Source organism: Homo sapiens, chromosome 12, assembly GCF_000001405.40.
Source record: "Homo sapiens chromosome 12, GRCh38.p14 Primary Assembly".
In the NCBI taxonomy this organism is placed as follows: Eukaryota; Metazoa; Chordata; class Mammalia; order Primates; family Hominidae; genus Homo; species Homo sapiens.
The window spans coordinates 102,389,605-102,407,887 of record NC_000012.12 but is presented as its reverse complement, the minus strand read 5'-3'; the positions used below and the strand labels follow the sequence as shown (position 1 = coordinate 102,407,887).

The following is an 18,283-nucleotide window of genomic DNA, read 5'->3' as shown; positions in this document are numbered from 1 at the left end:
GGGGAGGAAAAAAAGGGGGTTATAATACCTAGGGAGTTTGCTTTTGCTAATTGAATACTGTGCTCCTAGACTTCTATAAATACCATTACAAATGGGTCCCAGCTTGTGGTAATACTCACCCTCCTCATTGAGTCTTCTGTCCCATGGCACAGCCTTTCCCTCCAAACTAGCATCTACCCCCATCTGGAAGCATGGGCAGCTCATGATATTATCAACTATTGCTATTGGAAAGTGATTTGGACTTGAAAGCACTAGATATTTTTTACCTCTTGGGGAGGCAGTTTAGCAGAGTGGTTAACTGGTGAGCTCCAGAATCAGAAGGAATAGGTCCAAATTCCAACCACTATTACATCTCCATCATAAGAAATTAGGCAAGTTGTTTATCCTAAGTTTCAGATTCCTTAAAGATAAAACAGTCAAGACAGTAGTACTTATCCCTGAGAGAAGTATAGGAAACAAGAAAATATATGCAATTTACATACATACTACAATCCCCAGCACATGACAAATGTTCAAGTAATGGGAACTGTTATTATTTTAGCCCTTTGTCTATCAGTTTGTTCCTCTGTGACCTCAAGCACATTACTAAATGTTAGCGAGCTTCAGCTTGTACGTGGGACTGACAGGAATAACACCGCATCACCTCATGTGGTGATTGTAAGGATTCAGTGATATTATTTTGTAAACTGTAAAGCCTTTGCAAATGTTAAGCAAGATTATTATTATTGCCGTTGTTATTAGTCCTCAGTGATCTTTTTTTTTTTTTTTTTTTTTTTTTTTTTTTTTTTTTTTTGGAGACAGAGTTTTACTCTGTCGCCAAGGCTGGAATGCAGTGGCACAATCTCAGCTCACTGCAACCTCCGCCTCCTGGGTTCAAGCAATTTTCCTGCCTCAGCCTCCTGAGTAGCTGAAACTACAGGCACACGCCACCACACCAGGCTAATTTTTTGTATTTTTAGTAGAGACGGGGTTTCACCATGTTGGCCAGGCTGGTCTCCAGCTCCTGACCTCAAGTGATCTGCCCACCTCGGCCTCCCAAAGTGCTGGGATTACAGGTGTGAGCCACCACACCTGGCACAGTAATCTTAATTGAAAAGTCTGTGGATAGCTTTCCAAAGGAAAGCTTGGAGCTTGGATAAGAACCAAGAGATAATGGGAGAAGGTGAATGGCCTCTTCAGGGCCTTTTCTAGCACCCTAAATATGCGTGTCTGTCCATAATGGGTAATCATATATATCACAAATCAAACCCTCCACAAACTTATTTCCTAATGTGTTTGTTAACCTTTCCTTCTAAAGGGTAAACTTCTTTAACCAACCCCAGTGAGCTGGAGGATCAATGTTTTCTTAATAGTCTTACCTTCGTTGGTGTCAATAGGAAACAGTATTTACTCACTACTGTTTTCCTTTTAAAAATCTGTCTAGTTGCATACTAGAAACAGTTTCAGCTGGTTTGTTTGTATTGGACAAGCTGCTGAAGTGAAAAGTTTTTGCTTGACTGAATGTGAGACAGTTTCATAACTCTTCAAGAAGTGCACCAAAGGTGGGTGCCAGCTCTGATGACGGCTGCTTCTAACATGCCTCCACTTGCCGCCCATTGTCAAGGGTGGCTGGCGTAATTAAGTTAAGACAATGAGCAAAGCAACAGATGCAACTGAGACCTAGTCCCTGAGTGCTTTTGTTTTGTCACTGTCATTGTCTGCAACAAAGAAGTCACATGTGACAGCCTGGGAAGAGAGCCAAATGCAAACCAGACGATATCCCAGCTGGTTTGAATGGCCTCCACCGTGCACGTGTGTGCATGGGAATCATGCTACTTGGTACAGCATCTGCTTCACTCAAGTGAGTTTCAGCCCATGGCTTTGCTGTGATGCTGAGACAGACCCAGAAGAAACAGACCAGGGAATCCCTCCGCTCAGACTTTACACTTTATACCTTGTGCTTTGAGAGAAAAGAAAAAGAATCTCTCTATTGGAGACAAAAAATAGGATGTATGTGGTTGGTCAATCTAACCTCAATTCTTTTTGCTATAGCCCCCCGCTAATTTAAAGAGTGAAGCATAGATGGTATCTTAATGTTTTCTTGTAGAAATTTGGGATTAATTTGGCTTGAGAGGAAGAATGGAGATTAAACGCTTTATGAGGCTTTCTTTTAATTTGTTCCCATTTCATTCCTGAATATTTTCTTAGTTTGGGCATTGCAGATGTTTAAAGAACTTCTTATTTTGAGCTGGTATGCCTCTTAAACAGAAAAACAAAAGGTAAAATTCAAATTAGTGTGTTTCTCCGCCTGTTAATTAATTTGGTTAGTAGTTAGGCAGAGAGATGGCATCCTTAATAATATCTATTTTGCGGGTTTGATCAGCTACAGACCATCAACAGTGTTGATTGAGAATTGAACAAAAACATTTCAAGGAGTTTGGGAACATTAGGGATGCTATTCTGTGGCCCCATGTGTCCTTCTCTCATTTTTCTAGAGAACTCCTATAAGAAAGCAGAACACGGCCAGGCATGATGGCTCATGCCTGTAATCCCAGCACTTCAGGAGGCTGAGGCAGGCAGATCACCTGAGGTCAGGAGTTCAAGACCAGCCTGGCCAACATGGTGAAACCCTATCTCTATTAAAAATACAAAAAATTAGCTGGGCATGATGGCGCGTGCCTGTAATCCCAGCTACTTGGGAGGCTGAGGCAGGAGAATCACTTGAACTGGGAGGCAAAGGTTGCAGTGAGCCTAGATCACACCACTGCACTCCAGCCTGGGTGACAGAGTGAGACTCCAACTCAAAAAAAAGAAAGAAAGAAAGAAAGAAAGCAGAACCCAATGGAAGATTAAGAACACACATTTAGCTTACGCCTGTAATACCAGCACTTTGGGAGGCCAAGGCGGGTGGATCACAAGGTCAGAAGTTCGAGACCAACCTGGCCAATATGGTGAAACCCCATCTCTACTAAAAAGTACAAAAATTAGCCATGCATGGTGGCAGGCGTCTGTAATCCCAGCTACTACAGAGGCTGAGGCAGGAGAATCACTTGAACCCGGGAGGCAGAGGTTGCAGTGAGCTGAGAACGCGCCACTGCACTCCAGCCTGGGTGACAGAGCGAGACTCCATCTCAAAAAAAAAAAACAACAAAAAAAAACAAAACACAAGTTTACTGGGAACTTAGCAGTAGATGCTTTGCACCACAACAAATGTATCTTAAGTGGTCTTTTGTGATATTTGAGGGAAAGTGCCAGAATTTAAAACAAATGGCATTTCAAGTTATTCTATACAAATGCCCAGTTTCTTTCTACCATCTTTTTTTCCTTTTTGCAGTGGTCACTGAGCTATTTTAGTGAATGTTTTTACACAATGATGCCATCTTCCTTCTACTCAGTCAGTACAAGATGTTGACCATCGACTCATAAAACACTAGCTACCTTTCATGAAGGACTTGGTGATAACTCTCATGTTCCAAGTAGAACCGGAAAACATGTGTAAGAAAACCTGCCGATCCCTATGGGCCTTGGCCAATAGGTATTATTCCCAAGGGGTGGCAGTTTATCTTTTTCCCCAGCCTTCATATTAAAACCTCTCACCTTCTCCAGGTCTCAGGTCTGTGTAATCTCAAATGTGCTTTAGCTCCTCACAATATTGTAACTGTGTGGGTGTTCATTACCTTAGCCAGAAGACAGTTTACAGATTCCAGGTCTCATGGAGAGAACTTTTGTTTTTGGTTATGAACCTCACTGTATACCAATAATTATCCATTACATCCTTCTGTAGAGGGCTCTCTGGCTAGAGATAAAACCAAAAAAAGAAGTACCTCAGGTTTATGCATATAAATGCCAGTTCCTCCTTGATTTTATTTCAAAACTCCTGTCTACATACTTTGCAATTTAAATACATTCAAGGATAAAGTAATAACTGTAGGAAAAGTATTATAATATAATGACTTAGTTCTGCACATCACAAGGGGGTCCCTCATACTCATTCATTCATTTCACTCATTTTACAGATATTTATTGAGCACCTGCAATAACCTGCACACTGCTCTAGACACTGGGACTATAACAGTAAACAGACAGATACATCTCTGGTCTCACAGGGCTTCTATTCTAAGCAAAACTCAATATCCAGGCCGGGTGCAGTGGCTCATGCCTGGAATGCCAGCACTTTGGGAGACCAAGGCCAGGCAGATCACCTGAGCCCACTAGTTGAAGACCAGCCTGGGCAATATAGCAAAACCCCGTCTCTACAAAAAAAAAAAAAAAAAAAAAAAAAAAATTGTCAAGGCATGGTGGCATGCGCCTGTGGTCCCAGCTACTTAGGAGGCTGAGGCAGGAGGATTGTGTAAGCCTGGGAGGCAGAGGTTGCAGTGACCTGAGATGGCACCACCACACTCCAGCCTGGGCAACAGAGTGAGACCCTGTCCAAAAAAAAAAAACCCTCACTATCCTTAAGATAACATCATTGCTTGTTGATGAGTGAATGTTAACACCAAATTAGGAACCCAGGACTTTTAGTCTTGGCATGGTTACTTTCCAATAAAGATGACAATACTAAGAAGAGAAAAATGATTTAATAATGATAATAGTGGCTAATACTTATGTAGTGCTTACCATGTGCCAGGTCTATTGTAAGTACTTTTATATATATTAATTATTTAATCTTTGATCCTATAAGGTAGATATTATTGTTACCCTAGTTTATAGATGAAGAAACGGAAACACAAGAGATTGCCACTCATACAAGTTTACACAGCCAGAAAATAGAAAAGCTACGAGTTGAGCTCAGCCCAGTATGTCTATGATTTTACAGACTCAAAATTAATTATAAGATTTCCTAATCTTCGATTTCTGAAACTCTGCCTTGCTCTAGAGGAAAACAAGAAAAACAATGAAAAATAAATGTCTCTTTTTTACAAAAATTAAAACAGAACAAACTGCAATAAAACAACAGAGGATGAATCCAGAATGTGATTGATTTTTTTTCTTACTAGGAAAGGATCTAGAGGCCAGAAGGCTGGATTTTTCAGGATCTCCTTTCAATCAATGAATCTGTGATAGAAGCAGATGAATCAAATCTCATCTTTGTGTGATTATAAAGCTGTCTGTGGTATTCACGCCACCAGGGGTACATAGAAGATGCCTGAGTGAGGTTTGGCAAAAGTACTAAGGGCCTGTCCACCTATACATGCCCTTCTCAGGAAAACCAAGGTTCAAGCTCTCTATTAGCTCAACTGGTAAGGCGTAAGACATGGAAGGTTGAGGCCCAATGTTAGAAATAGATGGATACATAAAACTTCATCAAGTTAATGTCACTTTTTCTCCTTTATTTATAGGAAGTACATTTGAAGAACGCAAGTAGAGGGAGTGCAGGAAACAAGAACTACAGGATGTAGGAAGACCCTCCTGAGGAGTGAAGAGTGACATGCCACCGCAGGATCCTTTGCTCTGCACGAGTTACCTGTTAAACTTTGGAACACCTACCAAAAAATAAGTTTGATAACATTTAAAAGATGGGCGTTTCCCCCAATGAAATACACAAGTAAACATTCCAACATTGTCTTTAGGAGTGATTTGCACCTTGCAAAAATGGTCCTGGAGTTGGTAGATTGCTGTTGATCTTTTATCAATAATGTTCTATAGAAAAGAAAAAAAAAATATATATATATATATATCTTAGTCCCTGCCTCTCAAGAGCCACAAATGCATGGGTGTTGTATAGATCCAGTTGCACTAAATTCCTCTCTGAATCTTGGCTGCTGGAGCCATTCATTCAGCAACCTTGTCTAAGTGGTTTATGAATTGTTTCCTTATTTGCACTTCTTTCTACACAACTCGGGCTGTTTGTTTTACAGTGTCTGATAATCTTGTTAGTCTATACCCACCACCTCCCTTCATAACCTTTATATTTGCCGAATTTGGCCTCCTCAAAAGCAGCAGCAAGTCGTCAAGAAGCACACCAATTCTAACCCACAAGATTCCATCTGTGGCATTTGTACCAAATATAAGTTGGATGCATTTTATTTTAGACACAAAGCTTTATTTTTCCACATCATGCTTACAAAAAAGAATAATGCAAATAGTTGCAACTTTGAGGCCAATCATTTTTAGGCATATGTTTTAAACATAGAAAGTTTCTTCAACTCAAAAGAGTTCCTTCAAATGATGAGTTAATGTGCAACCTAATTAGTAACTTTCCTCTTTTTATTTTTTCCATATAGAGCACTATGTAAATTTAGCATATCAATTATACAGGATATATCAAACAGTATGTAAAACTCTGTTTTTTAGTATAATGGTGCTATTTTGTAGTTTGTTATATGAAAGAGTCTGGCCAAAACGGTAATACGTGAAAGCAAAACAATAGGGGAAGCCTGGAGCCAAAGATGACACAAGGGGAAGGGTACTGAAAACACCATCCATTTGGGAAAGAAGGCAAAGTCCCCCCAGTTATGCCTTCCAAGAGGAACTTCAGACACAAAAGTCCACTGATGCAAATTGGACTGGCGAGTCCAGAGAGGAAACTGTGGAATGGAAAAAGCAGAAGGCTAGGAATTTTAGCAGTCCTGGTTTCTTTTTCTCATGGAAGAAATGAACATCTGCCAGCTGTGTCATGGACTCACCACTGTGTGACCTTGGGCAAGTCACTTCACCTCTCTGTGCCTCAGTTTCCTCATCTGCAAAATGGGGGCAATATGTCATCTACCTACCTCAAAGGGGTGGTATAAGGTTTAAAAAGATAAAGATTCAGATTTTTTTTACCCTGGGTTGCTGTAAGGGTGCAACATCAGGGCGCTTGAGTTGCTGAGATGCAAGGAATTCTATAAATAACCCATTCATAGCATAGCTAGAGATTGGTGAATTGAATGCTCCTGACATCTCAGTTCTTGTCAGTGAAGCTATCCAAATAACTGGCCAACTAGTTGTTAAAAGCTAACAGCTCAATCTCTTAAAACACTTTTCAAAATATGTGGGAAGCATTTGATTTTCAATTTGATTTTGAATTCTGCATTTGGTTTTATGAATACAAAGATAAGTGAAAAGAGAGAAAGGAAAAGAAAAAGGAGAAAAACAAAGAGATTTCTACCAGTGAAAGGGGAATTAATTACTCTTTGTTAGCACTCACTGACTCTTCTATGCAGTTACTACATATCTAGTAAAACCTCGTTTAATACTATAAATAATATTCTATTCATTTTGAAAAACACAATGATTCCTTCTTTTCTAGGCAATATAAGGAAAGTGATCCAAAATTTGAAATATTAAAATAATATCTAATAAAAAGTCACAAAGTTATCTTCTTTAACAAACTTTACTCTTATTCTTAGCTGTATATACATTTTTTTAAAAGTTTGTTAAAATATGCTTGACTAGAGTTTCCAGTTGAAAGGCAAAAACTTCCATCACAACAAGAAATTTCCCATGCCTGCTCAGAAGGGTAGCCCCTAGCTCTCTGTGAATGTGTTTTATCCATTCAACTGAAAATTGGTATCAAGAAAGTCCACTGGTTAGTGTACTAGTCCATCATAGCCTAGAAAATGATCCCTATCTGCAGATCAAGATTTTCTCATTAGAACAATGAATTATCCAGCATTCAGATCTTTCTAGTCACCTTAGAACTTTTTGGTTAAAAGTACCCAGGCTTGATTATTTCATGCAAATTCTATATTTTACATTCTTGGAAAGTCTATATGAAAAACAAAAATAACATCTTCAGTTTTTCTCCCACTGGGTCACCTCAAGGATCAGAGGCCAGGAAAAAAAAAAAAAAGACTCCCTGGATCTCTGAATATATGCAAAAAGAAGGCCCCATTTAGTGGAGCCAGCAATCCTGTTCAGTCAACAAGTATTTTAACTCTCAGTCCAACATTATTTGAATTGAGCACCTCAAGCATGCTTAGCAATGTTCTAATCACTATGGACAGATGTAAAAGAAACTATACATCATTTTTGCCCTCTGCCTGTTTTCCAGACATACAGGTTCTGTGGAATAAGATACTGGACTCCTCTTCCCAAGATGGCACTTCTTTTTATTTCTTGTCCCCAGTGTGTACCTTTTAAAATTATTCCCTCTCAACAAAACTTTATAGGCAGTCTTCTGCAGACTTAACGTGTTTTCTGTCATAGTTAGATGTGATAATTCTAAGAGTGTCTATGACTTATTTCCTTCACTTAATTCTATCCACAGTCAAAAATCCCCCAAGGAGGAAAGCTGAAAGATGCACTGCCATATTATCTTTCTTAACTTTTTCCAACACATAATCCTCTCCAACTGGATTATAAATAAATTGAAAATAACTCATTATACCAATTCACTATTTTATTTTTTAATGAATTAAAACTAGAAAACAAATTGATGCAAACCCTGGAAGTCAGTTGATTACTATATACTACAGCAGAATGACTCAGATTTCATAGAAAGGAGCAACCAAAATGTCACAACCCAAAACTTTACAAGCTTTGCTTCAGAATTAGATTGCTTTATAATTCTTGAATGAGGCAATTTCAAGATATTTGTAAAAGAACAGTAAACATTGGTAAGAATGAGCTTTCAACTCATAGGCTTATTTCCAATTTAATTGACCATACTGGATACTTAGGTCAAATTTCTGTTCTCTCTTCCCCAAATAATATTAAAGTATTATTTGAACTTTTTAAGATGAGGCAGTTCCCCTGAAAAAGTTAATGCAGCTCTCCATCAGAATCCACTCTTCTAGGGATATGAAAATCTCTTAACACCCACCCTACATACACAGACACACACACACACACACACACACACACACACACACACATTCACCCTAAGGATCCAATGGAATACTGAAAAGAAATCACTTCCTTGAAAATTTTATTAAAAAACAAACAAACAAACAAAAAGCCTGTCCACCCTTGAGAATCCTTCCTCTCCTTGGAACGTCAATGTTTGTGTAGATGAAACCATCTCATGCTCTGTGGCTCCAGGGTTTCTGTTACTATTTTATGCACTTGGGAGAAGGCTTAGAATAAAAGATGTAGCACATTTTGCTTTCCCATTTATTGTTTGGCCAGCTATGCCAATGTGGTGCTATTGTTTCTTTAAGAAAGTACTTGACTAAAAAAAAAAGAAAAAAAGAAAAAAAAGAAAGCATAGACATATTTTTTTAAAGTATAAAAACAACAATTCTATAGATAGATGGCTTAATAAAATAGCATTAGGTCTATCTAGCCACCACCACCTTTCAACTTTTTATCACTCACAAGTAGTGTACTGTTCACCAAATTGTGAATTTGGGGGTGCAGGGGCAGGAGTTGGAAATTTTTTAAAGTTAGAAGGCTCCATTGTTTTGTTGGCTCTCAAACTTAGCAAAATTAGCAATATATTATCCAATCTTCTGAACTTGATCAAGAGCATGGAGAATAAACGCGGGAAAAAAGATCTTATAGGCAAATAGAAGAATTTAAAAGATAAGTAAGTTCCTTATTGATTTTTGTGCACTCTGCTCTAAAACAGATATTCAGCAAGTGGAGAAAATAAGAACAAAGAGAAAAAATACATAGATTTACCTGCAAAAAATAGCTTCTGCCAAATCCCCCTTGGGTATTCTTTGGCATTTACTGGTTTATAGAAGACATTCTCCCTTCACCCAGACATCTCAAAGAGCAGTAGCTCTCATGAAAAGCAATCACTGATCTCATTTGGGAAATGTTGGAAAGTATTTCCTTATGAGATGGGGGTTATCTACTGATAAAGAAAGAATTTATGAGAAATTGTTGAAAGAGATGGCTAACAATCTGTGAAGATTTTTTGTTTCTTGTTTTTGTTTTTTTTTTTTTTTTACTTTATACAGTCTTTATGAATTTCTTAATGTTCAAAATGACTTGGTTCTTTTCTTCTTTTTTTATATCAGAATGAGGAATAATAAGTTAAACCCACATAGACTCTTTAAAACTATAGGCTAGATAGAAATGTATGTTTGACTTGTTGAAGCTATAATCAGACTATTTAAAATGTTTTGCTATTTTTAATCTTAAAAGATTGTGCTAATTTATTAGAGCAGAACCTGTTTGGCTCTCCTCAGAAGAAAGAATCTTTCCATTCAAATCACATGGCTTTCCACCAATATTTTCAAAAGATAAATCTGATTTATGCAATGGCATCATTTATTTTAAAACAGAAGAATTGTGAAAGTTTATGCCCCTCCCTTGCAAAGACCATAAAGTCCAGATCTGGTAGGGGGGCAACAACAAAAGGAAAATGTTGTTGATTCTTGGTTTTGGATTTTGTTTTGTTTTCAATGCTAGTGTTTAATCCTGTAGTACATATTTGCTTATTGCTATTTTAATATTTTATAAGACCTTCCTGTTAGGTATTAGAAAGTGATACATAGATATCTTTTTTGTGTAATTTCTATTTAAAAAAGAGAGAAGACTGTCAGAAGCTTTAAGTGCATATGGTACAGGATAAAGATATCAATTTAAATAACCAATTCCTATCTGGAACAATGCTTTTGTTTTTTAAAGAAACCTCTCACAGATAAGACAGAGGCCCAGGGGATTTTTGAAGCTGTCTTTATTCTGCCCCCATCCCAACCCAGCCCTTATTATTTTAGTATCTGCCTCAGAATTTTATAGAGGGCTGACCAAGCTGAAACTCTAGAATTAAAGGAACCTCACTGAAAACATATATTTCACGTGTTCCCTCTTTTTTTTTTTCCTTTTTGTGAGATGGGGTCTCGCACTGTCCCCCAGGCTGGAGTGCAGTGGCATGATCTCGGCTCACTGCAACCTCCACCTCCTGGGTTTAAGCGATTCTCCTGCCTCAGCCTCCTGAGTAGCTGGGATTACAGGCACCCACCACTATGCCCGGCTAATTTTTTGGATTTTTAATAGAGACGGGGTTTTACCATGTTGGCCAGGTTGGTCTCAAACTCCTGACCTTGTGATTTGCCCGCCTCAGCCTCCCAAATTGCTGGGATTACAGGCATGAGCCACCACACCCTGCCCATGTGTTCCCTCTTAATGTATGATTACATGGATCTTAAACATGATCCTTCTCTCCTCATTCTTCAACTATCTTTGATGGGGTCTTTCAAGGGGAAAAAAATCCAAGCTTTTTTAAAGTAAAAAAAAAAAAAGAGAGGACACAAAACCAAATGTTACTGCTCAACTGAAATATGAGTTAAGATGGAGACAGAGTTTCTCCTAATAACCGGAGCTGAATTACCTTTCACTTTCAAAAACATGACCTTCCACAATCCTTAGAATCTGCCTTTTTTTATATTACTGAGGCCTAAAAGTAAACATTACTCATTTTATTTTGCCCAAAATGCACTGATGTAAAGTAGGAAAAATAAAAACAGAGCTCTAAAATCCCTTTCAAGCCACCCATTGACCCCACTCACCAACTCATAGCAAAGTCACTTCTGTTAATCCCTTAATCTGATTTTGTTTGGATATTTATCTTGTACCCGCTGCTAAACACACTGCAGGAGGGACTCTGAAACCTCAAGCTGTCTACTTACATCTTTTATCTGTGTCTGTGTATCATGAAAATGTCTATTCAAAATATCAAAACCTTTCAAATATCACGCAGCTTATATTCAGTTTACATAAAGGCCCCAAATACCATGTCAGATCTTTTTGGTAAAAGAGTTAATGAACTATGAGAATTGGGATTACATCATGTATTTTGCCTCATGTATTTTTATCACACTTATAGGCCAAGTGTGATAAATAAACTTACAGACACTGAATTAATTTCCCCTGCTACTTTGAAACCAGAAAATAATGACTGGCCATTCGTTACATCTGTCTTAGTTGAAAAGCATATTTTTTATTAAATTAATTCTGATTGTATTTGAAATTATTATTCAATTCACTTATGGCAGAGGAATATCAATCCTAATGACTTCTAAAAATGTAACTAATTGAATCATTATCTTACATTTACTGTTTAATAAGCATATTTTGAAAATGTATGGCTAGAGTGTCATAATAAAATGGTATATCTTTCTTTAGTAATTACATTAAAATTAGTCATGTTTGATTAATTAGTTCTTTTGGATAATGTTGGTGTAATGTGTCATTCCTTAAGAATTCTACTGTTATATACCATTTTTATTAAGGTCATTGCAATAAATAAACATGAAAACATACCCAGAAAAACAAAACTAATCACACACAAAAATGAAGACATCTCATAGAATTTACAGATTCTATTTAAAAGTAAATATGTTTCAAAGGACTTGCAAAAGCTATGTAAGAGATGTATGAATTGTACAATATATGCATTAACAATAAAGCAGTTGTACGTAAAATCCCCTCACTGTCACCCAACAGTGACTTATAATCCCTGACACAAAGTGGTTGGGAAAATATTCTATTGCCAGAAGGTTCACACGTATCAAATAAGGCACATAATATATAAATGGCATCTAATACATTCCCATACCAAGAGATTTATAAGAATGTGATCTCTCAGCATTGAGTTTTTGTTTCAATAAATCGTTCCAATTTTTTACTGAATAGATACTGTGAATATCAAATTCACAACAGCATTTATAGAAGTACAAGGTATAAAGATTGGTAATCTCCCTCGTTTAAAAGCATCTCATTTCATTTTTTAAAAATTCATTAACTATTTGGAAAGTTACCCAAATATAAAAAAAGTCTCACAAGTTTTGTACTTAGTTTTAAGGAAATTATAGTAAAGTTTTCTTTAATATTTTCTCACGTGCCATTGGTGTCCCATCTCACGTTCATTCCTACCTTTGCTCCCTCAAAATGTCCAAGAATCTCCCTGGGACTAACATTATGCGGGCCCCTTCTTCCTCCAAATGTCTTGTTCATGCTCTTAGCATTTTGCCTCCTATAGTCATGGTGTTCTGTACTACTTCTCCCCTCGCTCCACTCCAGACAATCCCTCTCTCCTTTCATTCACACTAGGGTGATCTAGCCACAGCCTTTCACTAAAGATTTTGTAAACAATGAAAAGGGGATGAGTTAAGCACAGGACAGAAAATACCTTCCATTTCAATGGCAAACATCACTATTACTATGAATCCAAGGAATTTCTGGTGGCTCATGTGCCTCCTGTCATCTTAGCAAGATCTTTTCCACTCTTCTGCAAACTCTCCCAGGAACCACTTTCTATCAAACCCTTTATCCCCTCCTTTGGAAAGAACTTATAAGAAAATTATATTGTATTCTTATGCAGGGCAATCTTTCCCCATCCCAGCTTTGCCAGTGGTGGGGGTGGGGGCAGGGCTGGCTCACCTTTTGTTACTGAATATGTACAAAAGGTGTTCTTTCCTAAAGGAAATACCAATTCTATCCCTAAGAGGAATTCTATCTTCCTTCCAGGTCATCTACGTCAAATAACAGCCTCTTTTTTTAAAAGAACATCTTTTTCTTCTGTAAGATCTTTATTGGAGATAATTACCACCACTCCAACAATAAGGGTGGTTAATATTTACTGAGCACTTACTGTGAGTCAGTCATTATGCCAAGTGGTTTACCTATATTATCTCATTCATCCTTCCAACAAGCCTATGCATCAGGCACTATTGTAAACACTGACTGATAAGGAAATGGAGGCTCAAAGACATTACTTAGTTTACTGAAGGTCACAGACCAGCAGAGAAGGCTTGAATCTGGGTCTGAGGACATCAAATCTGGGTCTGAAGACACTTGCTTTTACTACTCCACCACTTACACCCAATCCAGGCATGAGGACAGCTCAGAATACTGACTGATACTTTCTTGTTCAAAATTGGCTTTACACGCTACAGGCAGACACATGGCTAATGGCACCTTTGAGTGATGACCTATTATTGAGTATGATATTATCAGGATAAAGAAGCATTTCTGCACGGTAACCAATGTATCTAATAATGTGTCATTCCCCACTGCCGTTCTTCCACATGTGCATGTCAGTTCTGGATAGTACTTCATGCTATGCAGGTAACACCCAGGGATATAGAGCCAATCTCGGGATACCTCCATGAAGAAAGTTATGTATTGGCTCTTACACAGTCTAGGAATAAACCATTCCCACCTAAGTGAAACTGGAAGCTGATTATAAAGAATCTTACCAAGACCTCTGGCAACAATCCAACTATTTTTCTCTTGACAGCTTATTGAAGTTGAGGTAGTCTCAAGTGCTATGGTTGAATCAGGGCTTCTGGAGAAAAACTGTGGACTTAGAGCCTAGAGTTCCATGAGACAAACATTCCCATATCCCTGCCCTCCAAAGTGGTCTTAGACAGCCCACACAAGCATTCCCAAAGGGTGGAGTGGTGCTGGTCCTAGATAATTTGGGAGACATTTGGCACTGTTGCAATGACTGGGGAGAGCATTTCTGACATTTATTGGGTATGGACCAGGTCTCCAGACATTTCAAGTAGGAGATAATCCTGTTTATAATCACCTAAGTCCGGAATATAACTCCAATTTTTATAAACTCAAAGTGTTTTTGCACAATTTTAACATAAACCGACTTCTTCAGGGATGCAATTACCATACAAATTAAGAAAAGGTAGAACTTTACCAAGTCTTTTTCACTGTTTTAGAAAATCACATCATCAGTGGCAATGCTAATTGTGCTGTTTGAATCTTTCCACTCCACATCTGCATCAGTCCGCACATGCAGCTGTCCCATGCGTGATTCTCCACGAGTATAAACATCTGACCACTTCCGTGTGTTTTCTAGGAGAGTTGTGCCTAAGCATTCTATCTTGTAATGCATGTTATTTTATTACAAACTTTTTTCCTTTTATTTCTACTTTATGTACAGTTCAGGCATCATTTTGCTTTTTGTTAAAATTGTGTATGTTGATATTATCTGTGAATTTCACTTAGGGACATTAAAGGGTAGATCATAAAATATATGTTATAAAAAGGAGAGCTTTGGGTCTGATAGGGTTGAAACTGCTGGGCTATACCCATCCATTATGAGCCTCCCCGAGTCATAATGACAGATGGATGGCAGAGCCTTCGCCCCCTTCTCAGTGAAGCATCCTAACTGTAAAGCTCAGCTGAAAGCTGGTATCTTCCTCACCTGTTTATGGATAGAGATTAAACCTCTGGGATCCCATAAAGGATAATGGTTATAGTTAATACAACATCTGGTTTCTAAATGTTCTTTTCTTCGCCCTGTGATGGAATGAGATGGCTTGTAAAAGAATAAAACAATCACTAAAAACAGGAGCAGATGTAAATTGGATTTGAGACAATTGCAGCAGTACATCAAAAGTAAAATTTGACTTTGAACTACAAGTAAAGTAGGAAATGTGGCCTGGTAGGGAGGTTTTCCTTTTAAGAGGAGATTTAAAAATTGAGTAACTGTGCTATAATTTTCTAACTCCACCTCACTTATTTAATTCAGTGGTTCCTGCTTAGGTGCAAACCTCCTTCAGAAAGAACCCTGAGTAGGGTCTCTCCCTTCAAATGGACATGTAGGGGATAACAGGGATCATAGAAATGTCCCTATACACGTGCTATCGCTGAAGCTATCACTCCACCCCATGAATATGGAACTGTCTTTCCCAAACCCAAATCTCTAAAAGGGAAACAGAGGTGGGAGGTGATTGTTCCTGGAGAGAGGGAAGGAGAAAACAGTAAGAAAGAAACACGACCCAGGATTGTGCTTCTCCATCCTATTTAGTTCAGAGCTTCAAATTCAGCCACCCTTATATGATCTAAAATACTCAAAAATAAGGCTACCCCAGAGCCAAATTTCTTTTTATTTCTTCTGCCTCACTCTGCTTTAAAGATGAATTGGAAATAGAGACATCCTCATCTGTCAACTATCACCAAGTAGATTCTCTTAGATAGTTAATATTGAAAAGCGTCCTCTGGTATCTCTAGACCTCACTGCTATAGTAAAAGGTACAGTGGAATAACTTAATACAGATTTGTGCTAGAATGTGCTGGCTGATTACTTGTCTGCTCTCATATCCATTTCCCAACATTCCCTTGATTTGCTCGTTTTCACAATGAGCCACATTTCTCAGCACCTATGAGCTCTGGTTTCTGGGTAAGTTTGGCCAATAGGAGGCATTAGCAAAAGACAAAAGACAAGAAGAAGGGAGAAGCCAGGTATTATCCCCCTTTTCTCTTTGCCTCCAACAGCGTCTTCAGCAGTACTTGCAGCTCTTGGCTCCATAACCCCTTCCTCCCAGTGCAAGCAGCATTCTGTTCCCCTAGTGGACCTAGATCCATGCAGATGGTTTTTCCCCTCTCTGAGTATCTCTAGCCATAGGGATGGTAGTGATTTTAGGATGTTGTTTTTTCTGGGTTGACTCCCCTCCCTTATTTAGCTACTCATCTCTTCCATCATCTGTATTAAATCCTCTCTGTTGAATGTGCACAGTGGCTCACACCTATAATCCCAGCACCTTTGGGGGTCAAGGCAGGAGGATCGCTTGATTCCAGGAGTTGGAGACCAGCATGGGTAACAGAGTGAGACCTTATCTCTCCTAAAAATAAAAATAAATAAATAAATTTTAAAAAAGCTGGGTGTGATGGTGCGCTCCTGTAGTCCCAGCTACTCAAGAGGCTGAGGTGGGATGATCACTTGATCCTAGGAGGTCAAGGCTGCAATGAGCTGTGATCACGCCACTGCTTTCCAGCCCAGCAGCCCAGTCTAGGCAACAGAGCGAGATGTCTTAAAAAAAAAAAAAAAAAAAAGAATCCTCTCTGTTTAAAATGCCTGGTCTAGAAGGGTTTCTGCTCTCCTTACTAGGCCCTAACTAGTACAAACAGGAATTACATAGTAGTAAGAAACAAGTGCTGAAATCAGGCAGATGTGGGCTTGTGTCATGTTCTAATATGTGCTTTGGACAAATTAAAATGACTTCTGTGGGGTTTAGTTTCCTCTTATTTTGATAATAACAGCAATATCTGCCTCAAATTATTATTTAAGGATTAAACATTATCATACAACAGTTCCTAAACTTCTAGATTTCTCAAAATATTGAAATTTCAAAAAATAAAAGTAGAAATTGAGAAAAATCAACCTGAGGTGTCAAAATCTTTATTTGCCTAAAATAAGGAAATAAAAAAATCATCTATCATCACCATTGTATCACTGAAAATGAATTAATTTTTTAAAAACATGGCAAGAATATAATCTAAGAAAAAAGGGCAGATTCTTTAATTGTGTAAATTAAGCTTTATAGAAAACTCATCATTAATTTAATTTTTTTCATCTTTTTTAATTTTTCTGTGGCTAGATGAAACCACTGGCATAGTCCAGCACTTGTCTGCTTATCAGCTCTTGTTTTGTGTGGTTTCTGGTATTTTTACTATTACTTTTATTATCATTACTTCTGCTATTATTAAGAATGAGAGTATTAATTAAGGATCTAAGATAGCCAAAGTAGAATTCTCTCCATTGGCTTTGTCACATCATTTTCTTTCTTTTTTTTATTTTTTATTTTTAATTATACTTTAAGTTCTGGGGTACATGTGCAGAACGTGCAGCCTTGTTACATAGGTATACACGTGCCATGGTGGTTTACTGCACCTATCAACCCATCATCTACATTAGGTGTTTCTCCTAATGCTGTCCCTCCCCCAGCCCCCCAGCCCTTGACAGGTCCCGGTGTGTGTCACACCGTTTTCTATATATACTCTTAACTCATGGTCTCAACATTTCTGACACTGACCACATTTCCCCCTAATTTGACTCTGACCAGAAAAATCAGGTAAAAAGTGCTAGTGCAGATCCTTGCACCACAATGCAGATGTAAAAATTTCAAGTCTAACATTTTCTTACTGTGTCATAATTCTTTATCTTTCTTCACTCCAGCCCAGCCCAGCCAGCAGACATGCAAAGTTTTCATGTAATAATTTTTAACTACTTATTTGATATTTTCAGGCTGTCCCTTTATAATGTTAAAATAATTTATCTTCAATGTAATCAATTTGAAGGAACAATGCAAATAAGTATGTTGCTTGTCTGTGTACAAACCAAACACTAAGAATTTTTCAACCAGTTTTGCTGGATTCATCAGCATATAATTTTATTCTGCCTTTTACTTTTAGTCATATTTATTCCATAACATATTCTTTTAAGACATCACTATTAGTCTTAGAAATCAATGAAATAAGATTTGATGGTCTGGTCTCTTACTTCTCAGCCTCCAAAATTTTCCATAATGCCAAATAAGAGAAATATCCCTGGTGTAGCAATCTCCAATTCCCTGAAAGAGAAGTGAACTTGAAAATAATTTTCAAGTCCTTTTTAAGCCATGAAGATTTATTTTGAATCTTTCAGTGTGTGCATAGCATTATTCCAAGTCCTCTTCAGGGTAAC

At 37.9% G+C, this 18,283-nt stretch overlaps 1 protein-coding gene and 1 long non-coding RNA gene across 7 annotated transcripts in view; one reads left to right on the top strand and one right to left on the bottom strand.

The window, feature by feature from the left end:
* Positions 1–12,014, top strand: part of IGF1 (insulin like growth factor 1) — an 85,966-nt gene extending 73,952 nt beyond the window's left edge. For all 6 annotated transcript variants that reach the window (XM_017019263.3, XM_017019262.3, NM_001414007.1 and 3 more), the window contains one exon: positions 5,322–12,014. In XM_017019263.3, the coding sequence (XP_016874752.1) occupies positions 5,322–5,381 (60 nt within the window). In that variant the 3' untranslated portion in view covers positions 5,382–12,014. The remainder of the gene's footprint in view (positions 1–5,321) is intronic.
* LINC02456 (long intergenic non-protein coding RNA 2456) overlaps positions 1–18,283 on the bottom strand; it is a 432,422-nt gene that overhangs the window by 304,108 nt on the left and 110,031 nt on the right. The window contains exons 7-8 of the long non-coding RNA XR_007063427.1: positions 3,657–3,775; positions 267–400 (exon numbers count right to left, since the gene is read on the bottom strand). This is a non-coding gene — a long non-coding RNA (long intergenic non-protein coding RNA 2456). The remainder of the gene's footprint in view (positions 1–266; positions 401–3,656; positions 3,776–18,283) is intronic.